The 19,268-nt window shown below is 42.1% G+C and overlaps 1 protein-coding gene and 2 pseudogenes across 1 annotated transcript in view, besides 2 other annotated features; all 3 read right to left on the bottom strand.

The window, feature by feature from the left end:
* CR1L (complement C3b/C4b receptor 1 like) overlaps window positions 1–16,001 on the bottom strand; it is a 78,571-nt gene extending 62,570 nt beyond the window's left edge. Inside the window, exon 1 of the mRNA NM_175710.2 lies at window positions 15,804–16,001. Within this exon, the coding sequence (NP_783641.1) occupies window positions 15,804–15,900 (97 nt within the window). The 5' untranslated portion in view covers window positions 15,901–16,001. The remainder of the gene's footprint in view (window positions 1–15,803) is intronic.
* CDCA4P3 (cell division cycle associated 4 pseudogene 3) lies at window positions 1,995–2,684 on the bottom strand (annotated as a pseudogene).
* CD46P1 (CD46 molecule pseudogene 1) lies at window positions 3,723–16,055 on the bottom strand (annotated as a pseudogene).
* Window positions 15,892–15,971: an enhancer, noted in NCBI's record as "active region_2448". NCBI's record gives its function as "activates an Ori minimal core promoter by ATAC-STARR-seq in GM12878 lymphoblastoid cells {active_cell/tissue: GM12878}" and the evidence as "EXISTENCE:reporter gene assay evidence [ECO:0000049][PMID:35858748]".
* Window positions 16,032–16,201: a silencer, noted in NCBI's record as "silent region_1773". NCBI's record gives its function as "represses an Ori minimal core promoter by ATAC-STARR-seq in GM12878 lymphoblastoid cells {active_cell/tissue: GM12878}" and the evidence as "EXISTENCE:reporter gene assay evidence [ECO:0000049][PMID:35858748]".

The raw sequence follows: 19,268 nt of genomic DNA, 5'->3' as shown, positions 1-19,268 counted from the left end.
ACCCCAAATCAACAGAATATACATTCTTTTCAGCACCACACCACACTTATTCCAAAATTGACCACATAGTTGGAAGTAAAGCGCTCCACAGCAAATGTAAAAGAAAAGAAATTATAACAAACTGTCTCTCAGACCACAGTGCAATCAAACTAGAACTCAGGATTAAGAAACTCACTCGAAACAGCTCAACTACATGGAAACTGAACAACCCGCTCCTGAATGACTACTGGGTACATAACGAAATGAAAGCAGAAATAAAGATGTTCTTTGAAACCAACAAGAACAAAAACACAACATACCAGAATCTCTGGGACACATTTAAAGCAGTGTGTAAAGGGAAATTTATAGCACTAAATGCCCACAAAAGAAAGCAGGAAAGATCTAAAATTGACACCCTAACATCACAATTAAAAGAACTAGAGAAGCAAGAGCAAACACATTCAAAAGCTAGCAGAAGGCAAGAAATAACTAAGATCAGAGCAGAACTGAAGGAAATAGAGACATAAAAAACCCTTCAAAAAATCAATGGATCCAGGAGCTGGTTTTTTGAAAAGATCAACAAAATTGATAGACTGCTAGCAAGACTAATAAAGAAGAAAAGAGAGAAGAATCAAATAGACACAATAAAAAATGATAAAGGGGATATCACCACCTGCTATTCCTTTCTGTTTCTTTGTTTTCCTTCTAACAGACAGGTCCCTCAGCTGCAGGTGTGTTGGAGTTTGCTGGAGGTCCACTCCAGACCTTGTTTGCGTGGGTATCACCAGCGGAGGCTGCAGAACAGTCAATATTGCTGCCTGATCCTTCCTCTGGAAGCTTCATCCTAGAGGGGCACCCACCTGTGTGAGGTGTCTGTCAGCCCCTATTGGGAGGTGTCTCCCAGTTAGGCTATACGGGGGTCAGGGACCCACTTGGGGAGGCAGTCTGTCCGTTATAGGAGCTCGAATGCTGTGCTGGGAGAACCACTGCTCTCTTCAGAGCTGTCAGGCTGGGACGTTTAAGTGTGCAGAAGCTGTCTGCTGCCTTTTGTTCAGATATGCCATGCACCCAGAGGTGGAATCTAGAGAGGCAGTAGGCCTTGCTGAGCTGCAGTGGGCTCCACCCAGTTCAGGCTTCCCTGGCGCTTTGTTTACACTGTGAGCATAGAACCGCCCAGTCAAGCCTTAGCAATGTCGGACGCTCCTCCCCCAGCCAAGTTCCAGCATCCCAGGTGGATCTCACACTGCTGCACTAGCAGCGAGCAAGGCTCCGTGGGCGTGGGACCTCCCCAGCCAGGCACAGGAGGGAGTCTCCTGGTCTGCTGGTTGTGAAGACTGTGGGAAAAGCACAGTATTTGGGCAGGAGTGTACTGTTCTTCCAGGCAGTCACTCACAGCTTTCCCTGGCTAGGAAAGGGAAGTCCCCTGACCCTTTGTACTTCCTTGGTGAGGTGACATCCCGCTCTGCTTCAGCTTGCCCTCCATGGGCTGCATCCACTGTCCAACCAGTCCCAGTGAGATGAACCAGGTACTTCAGTTGGAAATGCAGAAATCACCTGTCTTCTACGTTGATCTCACTGGGAGCTGTAGACCAGAGCTGTTCCTATTCAGCTATCTTGAAGCAACCTAAAATATATATCTTAAGACAATTTATTGCTCAAAACATACAAAACTTAATTCTAAAAAATTCAACTACCTAAATTTAAACAAGATTGCTGCAGCTATGGCTCACTGTCCTCCAGTAGACATGAAAAGGGATGAGGGATGCAGGGCCATGGGGATGTCAAGCCTGCCCCAAGGTCAGAAAGCCTTTGAGGAGAGCCCTAGCTCCTGCTGAGACCAGCCTCCGGCTTGCCCTCTGCAGAGGGGAAGGAAGGGAATGGGCCTGGGGCTGCAGACCATGCAGGAATCAGCAGAGGAGCCGGCAAGGCTGGGCAGTGGGCTACAGGCTGGCCAGAGTTCCCTTGGCGGGATCCCATCCTCCATGTCTGGCCAGCACTGTGGCACGTGTGGCTCAGGTCTCCATCAGGATCTCCACCATGTGCTCTTGCTTGCCCAGGTCAGACTGCAATTGTAGCTGGAGCTGGGAGGTGGGGCGGCGGCAGGGCCAAGCCTCCAAGTGCGTTGCAGGGGCCCAGCTTGGTGCATCCCATCATGCGGGTCAGCACTGTGTGTCCAGGTTGTCGTAAGAACTGACCACATCTGAGGCCAGCTCTTCCATGCAGTTGGGATTTTTAGTTTTCAGTATTTCAAATATCTCATCTAGCCACTTCTGAAAGCTTCCTTTATTTTCCCCCTGGCTGTCCATCTCCCAGATGCTGCTTTGCAGGGCTCCTGGTGCCAGTGCTGAGGTGAGACAGCAAAGGTCTGATACCTGGCCCCTTCGTGCAGCAGTCTCCGAAGTGGGGGGCATGGTGCTCCCCCTCTGGCTCCTGTGTGGCGGGCACAGGGCACTGGCACAGGATCTCTGCAGAAACCAGGCAGTGGAGCCACACGCACCCCACACTCTTGGGTGCTGCTGTTCACCACATCCCATCCTGGGCCATCTCCTCTTGGATCTGCCAGGCGTGTTGGTGATGAGGACCCTGCGGCAGTGGTTGGGCTCCACCAGCAAGTGGTAAAGCTGGAGCTTCTAAAAGGACAAGTCCAGGAGTGACTGCCCCTGCCAGCTGCAGGAGTGCAGGGTCTTCAAGCTGGCTGGGGTGCCGTGCTTGACCACCACTTCTTTCATTCTCAGTATTGGTTAATTTGTGTCTTTTTTTTCTTTGTCAGTCTGGCTGTAGGTTTACACATTTTATTGATCTCCAAGTAGCAACTGTTGGTTTCATTGATCTTCTCTATTTTTTTTTCTCTTCTCAGTTTCATTGATTTTGGCTCTATCTTTATCATTTCCTTACATCTGCTAGTTTGGGATTTAATTTGCTCTTCTTTTTTAGTTTCTTAAGGTGGAAAATTAAATCATTGATTTGAGGCTTTTCTTTTTTTTCTAACGTAAGTATGTTATGCTATACATTCCCCTGTAAGCAATGCTTTAGCTGTATCCTACATGTTTGGATATTTTGATGTGTTATGATTCAATTCAAAACACTTTCTAATTTCCCGGCTGACTACTATTTTTATGCATGGATTATTTAGGAGTGTCTTGTATACTTTTCATTTCTTTGGGGATTGGCCTTGTTGTTGATTCCTACTTTCATTCTGTTGTGATCAGATAATGTATTTTGAATGATTTCAATTTTTTGAGATTTGTGGAAAATTGTCTTATTGTCTAGAATATGGTCTACTTTGGAGAATGTTTCATGCATACTTGGGAAGTATATACTTTTAAATCACTGTTATTCTGTGATTTCTTTGTTTAAACGGGCAAGTCCCCTGTGGAGTCTTCATACTTTTGGTCACTCTGGTCTTTAAGAAAATTATTTTTTATCCAGAGTTTATCATTTTTATTGGTGAGAGCATTAGTCTGTTACAGTCTACCACTACCAAAGCCAGAACTCTTAGATTTCTTGTAATACAAGAACCACCTTTCTTATTTTTAAGCCAGTGTTTGTTGATTTATTATTTTTTTTGGTCTTTCAAACAAAAACTTCTAACTCATGCAGATTACACAGTAGTTCACACTGTATGAAATGAAATCCCAAGAACATGTGGGGGTGAAAAATAGAGAACTCTAGCTAGAACTATTTTTTGGCTTGAATTGACCTGTATTAAAATAAATTAGATCCAATTACACAGGAGGAGGAAGCACATACACCTGCTTTATTTGTAGATAAAACTATTTACAAAATATTTCCAGAGTACTTACAGATGAAGAAGGAAATAAATTGAAAGGTGACTTTTACACTCTGGAGCAGCATGATTCCATACTGAATTGTCACCACAATAAATCGTGCTCTCTCCAATAAGTGAAAATGGATCTGGTCCAGGTGCAGGATCACAACTATCAGTTACTGCATTAAGATACTCAAATACTTCTACTTCACTAAAGGTGTGTTTTCCATTTTTTATTTTTGGAGGTCATGTGCACAAAATCTCTTAAAATTGAAGAAAAAGAGGAAAGAAATGTAAAAGATTAAGGCAGCATTAGTAAAATTTCTGTGTCTTCAGTGAATTTGTCAATATAGGGTTTCTACAAGCTGGTTGTGAATTCAATATGGATTTAAAAGAAGGTTTCTATGAGCAAATATATCATCCCAAATTCAAACCATTAATGTAGTAACTAACTTTCAGAACAAATCTCATTTTCTTAAAGTGTAAATACCTATTGATATGGTTTGGATCTGTGTCCCCACCAAATCTCATGTCAAATTGTAGTCCACAATGTTGGAGGTGGGGCCTGGTGGGAGGGGTCTGAATCATGGGGGTGGATTTCTCATGAATGGTTTAGCACCGTCCCCTTGGTGCTGTTCTCGTGATACTGAGTGCTTGGGAGATCTGGTTATTTAAAAGTGCGCAACACCTCCCGTCCTCCCCACCTTGCTCCTGCTCCTGCCATGTGAGACACCTTGCTCCCCCTTTGCCTTTCCCAATGGTTGTTGTTTCCTGAGGCCTCCCCAAACCCCCAGCAGATGCCAGCATCATGCTTCCTGTACAGCTTGTAGAATCACGAGCCAATTAAACCTCTTTTCTTTATAAATTACCCAGTCTCAGGCATTTCTTTATAGCAATACGAAAACGGCCTAATACGCCTATATTTATTTGCAAGGCCATGCTAAGTTTTCTTCTAGTTATCACAAGAAATGCTGACAATTTAATGAGAAAATATGCTTAACTGAGCGCTAGCTGAGAAATCCTTTGCAATTTTTAAATATATCCATTTTCTAAATTGGTGATTCACAATACCACCAAAATATTGTCTTTTTTCACTCTCATCCTTATAAGTGTATAGTGATTGATTGATTGATTGATTGATTGATTTTGAGACGGAATCTCGCTCTGTCGCCCAGGCTGGAGTGCAGTGGCGCGATCTCGGCTCGCTGCAAGCTCCGCCTCCCGGGTTCACGCCATTCTCCTGCCTCAGCCTCCAGAGTAGCTGGGACTACAGGCTGCTACCACCACGCCTGGCTAATTTTTTGTATTTTTAGTAGAGACGGGGTTTCAGGGTATTAGACAGGATGGTCTGGATCTCCTGACCTCGCGATCCACCCGCGTCGGCCTCCCAAAGAGCTGGGATTACAGGCCTGAGCCACTGCGCCGGGCAGAAGTGTATAGTGATATTTTCCAAAGTCTACATATTGTGTGATTACACAACAGCCCAAATCCAAGTCTTCCTTTAAGTTAGGTGTTGAAGAGATGTGCAAAAAATGTGAACAATGCCACTATTCTCACTAATTTTATTTTGTTTTGGAAAATTGTTATTTTTCATTAAAAAATGTTATATATGTTAATTTGTATTGCATCTATTCTTACAAATTAATCAGGCCAGGTGGGGTGGCTCACATTTGTAATCCCAGCACTTTGGGAGGCCCACGGGGGCAGATTGCTTGAGCACGGGAGTTCAAGACCAGCCTGGGCATCATGGCAAAACCACGTCTCTACAAAAGTTACAAAAAGCCAGGTATGGTGGCACATGCCTGTAGTCTCAGCTGCTCAGGAGGCTGAGGTTGCAGTGACCTGAGATTGTGCCACTGTGCTCCAGCCTGGGAAACATACTGGTACCCTCTCTTAGGAAAAACAAAAACAAAAACAAAAAGAATCAATACTTATTTAAAAAATCTCTCAGTTTGAATTCCAATATGATAAATACCAACAGATATAACCCACATAAAAGAAACCTCTTTGGGATCTTTGTTAATCTTAAAATGTAAAAGGTGCCCTGAGGCAAAAAATCTTTGAGGACTACTGGTCTGAATTAAAAAAAAAAAAAAAAGAATTTACTTACTTTCACATATTGGGGGCTTACTGCTCCAAACTGCTACTGATCCTTTAAGTTCACAATATAGAATTTCTTTACCAATTAAGTAATAACTAAATGGGAAAAGAAAGGGTTACTGTTTTGTATAGCAATTAATAAGACACATAATAATGAAGGAACTTTTTATATGGTTTATTTTCTACGCTGCAGTAATTTGAGGGGGGTGGTTTCTTAAACAACATACTATATAATGAAAGTGCTAAATAAATCTGCAATTTAATCAAATAAAGAGTTTCTCTATTTGAACGTATATTGGCCGAGAGCAAAAACATCTAAATAAATCTGCTGTGCCGTTCCACCCAGCCTCTTTGCTGCCTCCTGCAATCACATTACACATTCATTTCTGTGCGTTTTCTCACACGACTTTGCTCAGTAAGGACAAGACTGTAGAGAGAACAGGCCCTAGAGCTGGAATGCCTGGATTAGAGTCTCTGCTTCCCAACTTACTAGTTTCTTGAGCTTGGGTAAATCACTTAAAGTTCCTCTCACTCAGTTACCTAATTGATTAAAAGGGGATAACAGTACATAGCTCGTGGGGTTGTTTAGGAGATTAGATAAGTTAGCATTTGGCACATAGTGAGTGCTACACGAGTTTTAGCTCCTATTAATATTATTTAGAACAGAATGTCTTTCTAGGAGTAGCTCATTGAGTATAGGAATACTTTCATTGAGTATACACCTATACTCAGTGAAATCTTCCCTGATTTAAATTCACAGGAATCTCTCCTCCTTCTGGACTCTTAGTGTAATAACATGATTAATTCTATTATTTGGTATTTCTCATTTAGTATTTTGGTTTGATACCTCTCAGTATATATTGTTTCTCAATAAGGTTAGAACTTCTTTTAGGAGGGTCCATGTCTTAAACTTTTGGTATCCCTCATAGTGCCTAGCAAGCTCTATGTAACTATTAATTGAATACTCCAATATTTCTACTTGACCAAATTTTAAAAACTCTTAGTGAAACTGCCTTACATGGTCACAGTGCACTTTTCCTCCAAGACTCACTTTGTTTATATATTATAGTGTATTATTGCTATTGTTTGAATCTGGTTTGTCTCTACCAAAACTCTTATTGAAATTTAATTGCCAGTGTAACAGCAGTGAGAGGTGATGGGGCCTTTCAGAAATGATTAGGGCATTAAGAGGGATAATGCCTTTCTAGAGGGTCTTCATTAATTCTTGAGGGAGTGGATCTTCATTCTTGTAGGCTTGGATTCGTTACCACAAGAGCAGGTTGTTATAAAGCGAGAGCCCCTCCCTTGTGCTTTGTCTTTTTTGCAAGTGCTGAATTTCCCTTTCACTTTCCAGCATGTTCTGATGCAGCATGAAAGCCCTTGCCAGGTACTACTGCCATGCCCTTGAATTCCCCAGCCTCCAGAAATATGAGCCAAATAAATTCTTTTCTTTATGAATTATCTAGTCTCACGTATTGTGTTATAGCAATAGAAAATCTATGAAAATTACATTTACTCTCTAAAAGCACATTTCACTTAAATGTCCAGTATCCCCAATATCTATGACTTTAAAAGTCCTGCAGAACAAAGGCTATTACCGAGTGCTCAGTGCCTGTTCTTGAGATGCTTCACATTGTAGCAGTCTCAGAAATAAGGTTTTTCAACTGAGAGCTTTTGTTCAACATGATGGTAAAGGCTAACCAGGTCACACTTTACAGAGTCATCTGGATACAAGCATATTTTTAGTTGGCAATTCTATTTCTCATTTCTGTGAGCCCTACTTTAACTCTAAGAGTTTGCAGATTTAAATAGGGGACACTCAGTTGTGAAGGATGAATTCTCATGATTACTACACTCTTAATGCTTTCAACAGACTTATTGTCAGAAATAGCAAGTAGTTATGCTTTCCTTCAATATCAATTTCTATTTACTCTACGTCTTTGCTGTCTCCATAAAACATCCAAGAGTTGTTTGGCTAGAAGTATAACTTGTCACATAGAAAGCAAAATTAAATAAAGTTTATATGAAAGCTTAAGAAGAGAAGCAAAACGAAAATAAAATTACTAACATTTTCCTTATTTCCTCTAAGGAGGAACTTACTTACCCCTCATTACAAATAAAGTGTATCTGATAACCTAGCTCATAAGTCCCATTTGCAAGGACTGCTTGGCCATGTAAAGGATCACCTATACATGGACATGTTTTTCCTAAAAGAAAATAATTTTGAGATTTTTTCAATCCAGTTTCTAAACAGATTGGAATCAAGGTCAAAATTCTGCATTGCGGTTTTGAATGCATGGGCATATTATTTTCTTTCTTTACCTATTATAAGGGCAAATTTCAGTTTCATGTTCACCCAGGCAATCTATTGCCAAGAAAAAGATTTCTTGGAGATTTCAATTTCTCAAAGTCTGCAAAAATGCATTGCTATCTTAAACCTCATTTCACAAGAAAAAAAAATCATCATCTCCATAGTGGAATATGTACCCTAAAATGTGTGCAAATCTCTAGAGCAAGCAGAAAACAAAAAAAAAAGGCTAGTTTATTTACTATAACAGGGCTCATCTGAGACAGGTAGCCATGTGTGATTCCGATCACAAATAGTATGGGTGGCAAGAGGAGGTACGTAGAAGTGTCCTTTTTTACACTTATAATCTACTTGTTCCCCAATCTCATAGTAGGGTTTTGGTTTACCAATGAGCTCCATAGCTTCAAATGTTGGTGGCTCCTCATAGGCATCTAGGGATAAGAGAATAGGAACATGAAGATGAAGTACTGATATCACTTTCATCAGCCATGGACTGTGGTCTGGCAGCAGGTAGTACAGAAAAAATAGGAAGGCCCTTGGCAAGATTTTAAATGACTGTTCCATGCTTTTACCTGAGTGCTGGTAGTAGTGGAGGAAATGGGATTTGCATGTTTTAAGTAACATCCTATTAGCTTTTGGTTTGTTTGGGAATAAACATTCGACAATAAACTGAAGAGACAGCATTAATGTCTTTGGTCTTAAAATATATATGGATGCATCTTTCTCCACATTTTTCTAAATTCATTTCAAAAGTAACTTCTCCTCTAAGAAGTCATCTACAGTATAGAGCACTCTGCTCAGATTGTTCTTCCATAGTTTAAAACACTAACTTATAACAGCTTGTCACTTCAGGCTGTCTTCTCTTAAAAGGCAAGTTCCTGGGGGTCAAGGACCATGTTCTTCTTTTTCTACTACACTCTACCCACCTTGTGGGTGCTCAAGAAATGTTATGGTAAGAGGTGATTATTAAGTAAATGTAGTGGATTTCATAGATTAAAATAAATATGAACTCAAATATTCTAAAATATAAGACTTTATTTCATAGGTTTCAGATAAGTGAACTGAGCATCTGACAAGTGAATATACACTACTTAAATATAAAACATTTACTACTTTGGATAGACTTACATGAATTGTTTTTCCTTTCTTGAACATCAAACACAATTTGATCTTGCCTCACTGATCATTGCATCATGCATTCTCTCAGAAGCTCCCTGAGGTAGCTGTTGGATTGTTTATCCAGCATGTCCTATAATAAAGCTACTATATTGCTGTGGTTTTAGAATTTTTTATTTCTGTTTTTTGTAGTTTTTTTTTTCTCCCTATCATTTCTACTGCGGCAACTCATCTTCCTCAAATTATCTGTGGGCTTGCAAAATAAGATGATGGAGACATCAAGTAAAAGCCTAAAGGGCCAACAGAATGCAAAGGCCTCTTCTATAGTGGAAGGACCAAAGTAGATAGATCTATTTTGATCTCCAAGGAGCATTTCTTTTCTTACTCCCTGGTCATGGTCCTGCCTCAGGTTGAGAGACTGGTCAAGAAAATTCTAACCAAGTGAAATCTCACCTTCATTTCATGTCATATTCTAAATTCTAAAATTCTCCATATATATACTGTCCAATATTTTCTTTATATATCATGTCCTGCAATGCACTTATTGGCAATACGTTTTCAGAGGACTTTCTTCCTATGGAAAATTTCAAACTAAACATGCCTACCCCCAGAAAAACAGTATCTTGACTTATTTTTTCTAGATATTTTATATTATAATTAATATTAAGCTACAATACTATACCTCAACAGTAGGTGCCATTATATCATAAGATAGGTGCAGTCAGAAATTTCCCCAAAGTTCCAGGTGAGTTTTAGTAAAGTGAATTATCTACACTGGGCCGGGTGCAGTGGCTCACGTCTGTAATCCCAGCAGTTTGGGAGGCCGAGGCGGGCGGATCACGAGGTCAGGAGATAGAGACCATCCTGGCTAACATGGTGAAACCCCATTTCTACTAAAAATACAAAAAATTAGCCAGGTGTAGTGGCACACGCCTGTAGTCCCAGCTACTCGGGAGGCTGAGGCAGAAGAATTGCTTGAACCCAGGTGGCAGAGGTTGCAGTGAGCTGAGATTGCACCACTGCACTCCAGCCTGGGCAGCAGAGCGAGACTCTGTCTCAAAAAAAAAAAAAAATCTACACTGCATCCACTGAACTGTTCAACTTCTGTACATTCACACCTGCTTGCAAAAAATTAACTAATGTACACGCATACCCACAGCCCTGCCCAGATTAGTATTACCAGAAATTCATGGTATTTGACTACAAGTGAAATGGCAATGAAACCTGACCATCTTGCTCCTTCTCCCACTATCCAATCTATTTAAAACCTTTTTTGCTTCCACAAAACATAAACTCTGACATCTACATATTTCAATTTTATTTCTCACTTCCCACTCATTTTTAGGTCTATGAAAATTACTTCAACTACTTTCTGAGTCATTAAAGGGCCTCCTCCTTGTTAAACTCCTCCTAACAGTCTCTTCCTTAATAGTTTGAATTACCCTCTTGATAACGTGAGAGCTACTGATCACTCTGCCCTCACTCTCTTCTGCCTGAAGAGTTCTCACTCCTTGGCTTTTAGGAGAGCAAACCACTCTGGTTTTCAGCTTGTCCTCTGGCTCATACCAAGGTAATATCCCTGATGAGTCTGTAGGAGGACTTCCTGTGATTCCATTCTGCAGGTCCCCCTGGGAGAATATATACACTTCTGTGACTTCATTACCACTGATAACCAGCTGCCTCCTAGCTGGGTATCTCTCCATCCCAGATCTCTAGCTGGGGTGCCAAAACTACATATTCAATTGCCTCCCCACACAGCTCTACTTGGAATGTGTCACTCTAGCTCAAACAACAAAGGGAGGCCCAAGAGCCACTTTTGACTCTACACACACATACACATACACACACACGCCCCCCAAACAAGTTATGTTTCCACAACTGAAATGCCCGTTTATTCTATGTAGTTGTATCCTTTACTTTTCATTCAAGCCACTATCATTTCTTATCTGGATTACCACGACATAACTAAATAGGTCTCCATACCTATCTTGCCACCTTTCATTCAATTCATTTTTCACATTACCAGAGCAGTATTTATATGACAGAGTAATCAAGGTTTTTCCAAGACAGATACCTTTCGATGGCTCTCCAATGACCTCAGGATAATGTCTAAGGCTTCCTAACATAGCTTAGAGACTTTTAAATCCCATCACAATCAGAACCCAAGAATACATTCCAGTTAGGTTGGCAGACCCAGGAGGCAGGCCAGTCAACTAGGTTCCCAGGCCACACTGCTGAACCACTACCAAACTGCTTCCCATTACTGCCATTCATCTGGAGCTCCCACATGCTGAGACCGACAAACTCTATCTGCAATTAGGTCCTCAAGAAATTGCCTACTACTGTGTCTCGGGAAATTAAAACAACCCTAGTTTGGAGTCACGTTGTGCTAAGTCAAACAAAAGGGCTCAAGCTGCCCTAAAAGGACAGGGAATAATACCAAAGTCTGAGTTTACGATGGTGATTGTTTATTCCTGACAAGCCTGTTGCTTTTTAGAACTGCTCACCCTGTGATTTATTCCTCTCCCTTCTTTGTTGTCTCCTTTACCCTACTCTGCCACACTGAATAGCTTGGCAGTCCAGCAGTGTCACATCTTGGTGCCTTTGCTCACCTTGCTTCCTCTGCTCTGAATACCCTTCCTCCCTGGCCGGTAGCTACAACTCCTGCTCAGCTCTTGTCTTCTTTAATCCACCCATCATCTCCTCCAAGAAGCATTTTCTGCCTCCCCCTGGGAAGCAGTGATCAGTCACCTTCCCCTGGACTCTCCCCTGCATGGATCTCTCAGGTAATTATCACGTGTTTTTGAGTTTAATAGTTAACAAGGCCGACTCCATTCATCCATGTGGCCACAACACCCAGCACAATATGTCCCTCATAGTAGCTATTTGAAAAAAATTTGGTACTCAAAGTCCACTGCTGTCAAACACAAAACAATGTGAAGAATATATTGTAATCAATTTCATATTGAAAATAATCATTCTACAGAACAATGGAGAAAGAAGATTTAGCCATTTCTTGTGCTGCCTATCTCCCAGTCTTCTGGTATCCTGGCAGGTGACCAGATATGGACTGCTCTTTTTGCATTGTAGTATGCCGAGTGAGGAAACTAAGAAGCAATAAGAACTTACTGGTCTTGGCTTCTTTCATTGAAAATAAGGAAAACACCTGAAATAGGCAGAAGAGACCACACACAACAGGAGATCGGGGGTTTTGTCCAAAAAAGCAGCTCCTCTTCTGGAGGAATGAATGAGACTGGCCTGAAATTTGACACATGTTTCCTTCTGCTATCTGGAACCATTTGGCAACTACCTTTGAGAGGGCAGGTCTCCCATGCACAGCACCACCTGCTTACAAAACCTTATCTTTGTGAGAGTGAGTTGCTCCAAAAATTGAATGTTTATTTTAATTCATGTATTCTCTCTGCCTAGCATCGTGAGTTCTCATTTTTACTTTCTCTAGGTTTCATACCTGTCTTGATTTAACCCTATCAACCTCAAACTTAACCTTATTTTTCCTTCTCTTCATTTTTAGTTTTGTTATCTTCCATGTTGCACCCTATTCATTTTATAATTCTATGTTCCTCTATTTCAAATTGCTTTCATTATCTTCTTCAACTTCCAGGTTTTTTTTTTTTTTCTGTGTGTGTGTGTGTGTCTGTGTGTGTGTGTGTGTGTGTGTGTGTGTGTTTGAGACCGGGTCTCACTCTGTCACCCAAGCTGGAGTGCAGTGGTATGATTAGGGCTCACTGCAGCCTTGACCATGGGGGCTCCAGTGATCCTCCCCCTTCACGCCCTTCAGCCTCCCAAGTAGCTGGGACCACAGGCATGCAACATCACACCTGGCTAATTTTTTGTTTTTAATATTCTGTAGAGGTGGGCTCTCCTTATGATGCCCAGGCTGTATGTACTTCTAGTACTAAGCCTATTCTAAACATTAATCTTTAAAAAGAAAAAAAAGTCCTTTCGTTTTCTTCTTAACACCACTGCTCCCTAATCCCATCACCCTCCTTCAAAATGAACGTTTTAATGATCAGTGAGATGCAAGACTGAAGTACTGGAAGCCCTGCAGAGTCAACATAAACAGGGGAGACAGATCCTTTCTGGCCCTCAGCTGCTGCTGCCCTAGCTTTTTAGGTACAACAGAAAGACCATCCTGAGCATAGCTCTTTAAAGAACCTTCCTCTTGGAGGCAGGAGGGACTTTTTCCTAGGCTCTAAGCCCCAGCCAAATAGTATATTTAATTTTCTGATATTTAACAGATGTCTATATGGATACTGAGTTAGGGTTCATACAGAAGCAAACAAATGGGGCTTTTGGAACCACAAATGGGGGAAGACAGAAGATTCCTGCATTCTGATGGGGAGAGACAGAGAACAGAAAAGATCACTTTAAAAGGGTGATTACAAGAGGTACTTGAACTGGGTTGTATGTGTTCAACCTGAGTTGGGGGGTTCCAAGAAGGTCTCTGAAGCGGTAACATTCCAGCTGAGCTTGCAGAAGAAACAGCCCATTTATGCAGCAGGTCATGGGGAGAACGTTCCAGGACTGAGGGAACAGAAAGCACAGATGCCCCAAAGTGGCAGAGTTTTGTCTGTTTGATGAGAAGCAAAGCCTTCCCTCCCCCCAGTCATTTGTTAAATGCTGTCAGAAAATTATACTCCTTTCCTCCAGAACACTTCCCTGGTTAATATATTTGTTACTATTATGTTTTGGTTAATGTCTGCCACTCCCAATACATTTTAGCAAACATCTGTTGATTGCCTACTGTGTTCCCGGCATTAAGCACTTAACAATGAGCAAAAAAAGTCCCTGCTTATCTTCCTGCATGTACGTGTGTGTAAACAAATAGTAAAAAAAGGATAAAGAAAATAGGAATTGTCTGTTATTACCTACTAGTGTAACAGCACCAGACATACAAGACCCATATTTGTTGAATGAATGTTCCTAAGAGAAGAAATGCAACGTACAATCTGTACATGGAATAAGATCCTAAATATAATTTGGACATAGATACACATGAAACACAATAAAGTCAGAAGGAAATATAACAAAATATTAAAAACAGTTGTCCTTTTATTTTGTTCATTTTGCACAATAAGCCTGTATTTAAGCATGTATTTTTTGGCTTTTTTTTTTTTTTTTTTTTTTTTTGAGACAGGGTCTCACACTGTCATCCAGGCTGGAGTGCAGTGGCATGATCACAGCTCACTGCAGTCTTCTCCTCCTGGGCTCAAGCGATCCTCCCACCTCAGCCTCTGGAGTAGTTGGGACCACGGGCATACACCACCATGCCCATCTAATTTTTTTATTTTTTGTAGACATGGGGTTTTGACATGTTGTCCAGGCTGATCTTGAACTCCTGGGCTTAAGCAATCACCCAACTTGGGCCTCCCAAAGTGCTGGGATCACAGGTGTGAGCAACTGGGCCTGGCCTAGCATGCATTTTTAAAAATATTGATTCCATTCAATGAAATACAAAACAGTGGGATAGGCCTTAAGCTTCAGTTTATGAGCTGTAGGGGAAAACAAGATTAACATTATCTGCCTTCCTTTGTTAGGATACTAATTTCTCACTAGGTTTGGCTACCAGTGTTTTTTAGGTTGCTTCACATCTCTCAAATATGACTCAAACTAATGAAAAGAAGGAAAACAATGTCAAAAAGCCACTAGGCAATGGAATCAGATACTGTCTATATTGGTTGGGAACAGGAAGATGACTCGATGGCCCACCCACCCCCCAAAAAAGCAGCCACTTAAAATTCAAGACCAATACGATCTCAGGCAACACGGACACTGTTCACAGAAGGCACTAAAAGCATGGTGCGCCCTTACCACCTCTCTAACCCCAGGCACTGAGAGCCTGCTCTCACTCAACATGCCCTCCCTAGCCGCAGAGTCCGCGCTCGCTCCACTCAAAGCAAACAGTGAGCTGTCTTGCCCACAGTGAACTCCGCACACAGGCCACTTGCGCACAGCACGCTCCCAGCAACACCTGGCCAGGCCCCTGCTCGCCCAGCCCAGCCCAGGCCAGCCCAGCCCATGGGGCACAGCAGACGCACTGCAACCCTTACCGCGGGTACTGTCCAAGCCCTAATGAACACCCTACTCACCAAGGCACCAAGGGAACACAGGGCAAACTCTCACCACGGGCACAGCACGGGCTCTAGCAACAATCCCACGCACCTGTGCACTCCAGAGCAAGCCCTCACCTGGGGCGCCCAGTAAGCCCTCCCCTTGCTGACTGGGCTCAATCCCGAAAACACGATTCACGCTTCTTTTGGGAACGCAGCCAGATCCTGCGTAAATGTCGGCCGCGCACACGATGCCACCAAACAAGCTTCTGCGTGGTTCCCGCATCCCCCGCCACATACCCCCGGGATCTGAGCACGGCACCCCTCGGAGAACCCTGGCCTCGCTCTCTATCCCAAGCAGGCACGACGTGCAGTGAGCTTCGCCCCGCGCCTCCTGCCCGACTGACTGAGCAGAGCTCTAGCCTCGCCGCGGACGCGCGAATCCACCCCGGGGTCCTACCGGAGAAGGAGGACAGCAGCAACACCAGGGCCGCCAGAAGCAACCCAGGAAAGCGCCGGGAAGGAAAGGGACGCTCGAGACGGACGGGAGGCGCCATGAGCGGCGCGGGAGACCCCGTGATTTATCCGGAGGTGAGCAGAGAAACCGAAAGCCAGCCGAGCAGGGAAGTCCCTTCTGAGTCCGGTTAGTGGACACAACAATCCCCAAACTCACAGTTTCCAGGGCCGCATGACAGGTGGGCGTGGCCTGGGCGCGTAGTGTGAAATTGAGTCTTAGCGCCGGGGCGGCTGGGGCCAATCGGCGGGCCGCGGGGCGGGGCCTCGGCGCGCAGGGGCAGCCCGTTGGCCTTCGAGGAGACAGGGCGTGTCCAGAGCCCTGGCAGGGGGTTATCGTGGGCTAGCACCCCTCAGGGTTAGTTTTATCCTGGGGCACTGCAGGCTGTCAGGACTGCCTGGGCCCTTACTTGGTATTTGGCATTAGTCAGGCATTATTGGGAACAATATTTGAGTTTTTCTTGCTTGAATGCCTGCTACTGAATCGTCTCGGCGCCGTCTTCTTTTCACAGTCTCAAAGGTTTGGCTTCTGCACTCCCAGCCCCTAAGATAATTTGCCCTTTGCTCCCCTCCCTGGAGAGGACCCGTCAGAATCTAAATTATTAAGCAACACCAGGCCGTTAGCATATTGAGACTCTATGGGACCCTTGCCCTTGAGCAACTAAATGTTTTATTGAAGACGAAATATACATGCATGAACAATGTAAGGACAAGGGTGTCCTAAGTGCCAAATTCCTGGAAGCAATAAATGCAGGAGGATTGGGATGGGTAGAAATTGTTAGGCGAAGTGGATAAGGGGGAGAACTTTTCTGGTGAAACAATCTCAGGAACAATGTTGGAAAATTAAGAATGAGCAGGATTGATTTGTAGGGTTCTGAGTAAGCCAGTATGACTGGTAAAAGGGGGAAAAAAAAAGGGAACATGACTGGCATTAAAAGAGCAAACAAAAAAAGTTGACATCTCTTCCCCTCAGATTGGCAAAGAATTAAAACGTCAGCCAATGTGAGTGAACATGTTGCAGGGGGACCAGCACTCTGTTTGTAACATAACTTTTCAGAATGTTAAAAGTCTTAAAGTGGAAATGACTTGTGTTAGGCTCTCAGTTCCCAGAGAAATCATCAGAGCTGTGATCAAAGATTTATAATTTTTGTAAAAAATGTAAACCCTAAGTGTCTAGCAAAAGTAATAAGGAGGCAGTTACCTTTGTGTGATGGAATTCTATGCAGCAAGTATTGCAAAAGAATACCAAATGTGAGAAACTATGATATCATTGTAAGTGGAAAAAGCAGAGTCCAAATTGGCATGTGCATTTTGGCAGTCCTTTTATTAAAACAAAAATGCTATATATATATATATATATATACATACACTAATTTGGAACACAACAAAATTAACAATGGTTAAGATTATAGATATTTCACTTTCCTTGTGCTTTTCAGTTTTCTTTTTCTATGTTGACCCTATGTTACATTTAGAATAAGGTAAAGAAAATGTATTTTAAAAATCAAATCTATGTATCAATTGTTGTTTTGTTCATAGAATTATGGGAGTAGAACTTGTATTACACAGGGTTTGTATGAGAGGATAGTGAGGAATTAGATGCTTAGTGTATAAACCTAAAATGGGTCTTATGGAATTATAGAGTTTAAATGTATTTAATACAGTTCTATAACTGAGATGTACTGAAGACTTTCTGGGTTCACCAAACCACGGAATTTCCTCTTCCCAAACATTTTCAAATTTTTGGCATAGAATACAAGACATTGAGTCTGGTGGTATATCAAATAAACATCTTAGTATCTTGGATTATAAAATTCAGACACTCTATGACAGTAATTAAAGGAGGTATAATTAAGGGGATAGTAAATAGGAAACTCAATGAGGAGAAATTATTATTCCTGTTAATGTATGGTGTGAAAGAGCAATATGACAGACATGTTCTGTGGCTCAATGCCAGCACTTATTTGTGAAAGCAGATAGTCTATTTATTTTTCTCCACATCAATAGATATTAAAAATTCTCCATTTATTTTCAGGCTTGGAAGAAAGATACCTTTTTCTCATGAGAAAAATTATTATAAAGAATAGAAGAAAAAATATGGCTAGTGTTTGATTTCCTAGTTTCAGGTGTCAGATTAGATTCAAAGATCGGTATTTTATTGAAACTTTCTTTCAATCAGTAAAATTTCCATCCCTGGGGTTAATCAAGCCATTCTTAATATACTCGAAGACTTTCACATTAAATTTATAAAACTAATTTTTATTTGAGTTAACTGAAGCTTCATTTGAATGGTTCTGAGCCTTGTTTCCTATTTTTTGGGATAAGTTCCATAAGTCAGGGTTAGAGCTTTCTTATAATATCTCCAGTGCCAAAATCTGTAGTAAGTGTACAATGAATAGCTGGTAAATATTGGATGAAATAAATGGTTCTTGTGGTCAAGTGCATTTAACATATCTCTGCCAGTTCTCCTCCAGCATGAATTTATTAAATGTCCAGAAATTTCTGAGAGATTTTGATTTAAATAATTTTAGACCCTAGGAAACAAATCGAGATCGGTCTGTAAAATGGATGAGCTACAACTGTCTGCACAGCAAACTTTCCTAAATCAGGTGTTGCAAGCTTACTTGTGAAGTGGAGCTGTGGTCTATCCCTTAGCCTTGAGGTCATTTTAGTGACTGAGTTCAATGTCGACAATGAACTTCCTGAGGCCTTAACGGGTAGAACTTGAAGCCAAAGCTTTGAATGAAGTTGATTTAGGAAATTAATGTTTCCTCCAATTCCCCCTAAAGATTTTGTCAAACTGCCAAAGAGAAGAAAAGGAGAGAATGAGGATATCTGTGTTTGTGGACCCGGTTTAGAACTATGGGATCTCCTTTAAGGGGCTTATGAAGGGCAGTATGGGTGGAGGCTGGTGTGCAGGGATGTCATTAAACTGTGGCCAACTCTTTTAAAATTTGATGTTAGGGCTGGGCGCGGTGGCTCATGCCTGTAATCCCAGCACTTTGGGAGGCCGAGGTGGGCAGATCACGAGGTCAGGAGATCTAGACCATCCTGGCCAACATGGTGAAACCCCGTCTGTACTAAAATACAAAAAATTAGCTGGGCGTGGTGGCGCACACCTGTAGTCCCAGCTACTCAGGAGGCTGAGGCAGGGGAATTGCTTGAACCTGGGAGGCGGAGGTTGCAGTGAGTCAAGATTGCGCCACTGCACTCCAGCCTGGTGACAGAGCAAGACTTTATCTCAAAAAAAAAAAAAAAAAAAAAAAAGAACCATGTTAGATGGTTCTTTGCCTCCTAATTAGTATACTGTATTTACATTATGCTTTTCAGGAGCAAGTGGAGCAGCATGAATGGGCCTCTATTTACACCTGCTAAGCACCTGCCAGCCAACTGACCTTTATGTTTAGCTGTG

The sequence above is a fragment of the Homo sapiens genome, chromosome 1, assembly GCF_000001405.40.
Source record: "Homo sapiens chromosome 1, GRCh38.p14 Primary Assembly".
NCBI lineage: Eukaryota > Metazoa > Chordata > Mammalia > Primates > Hominidae > Homo > Homo sapiens.
This window is presented reverse-complemented; position numbering and strand designations above follow the sequence as displayed.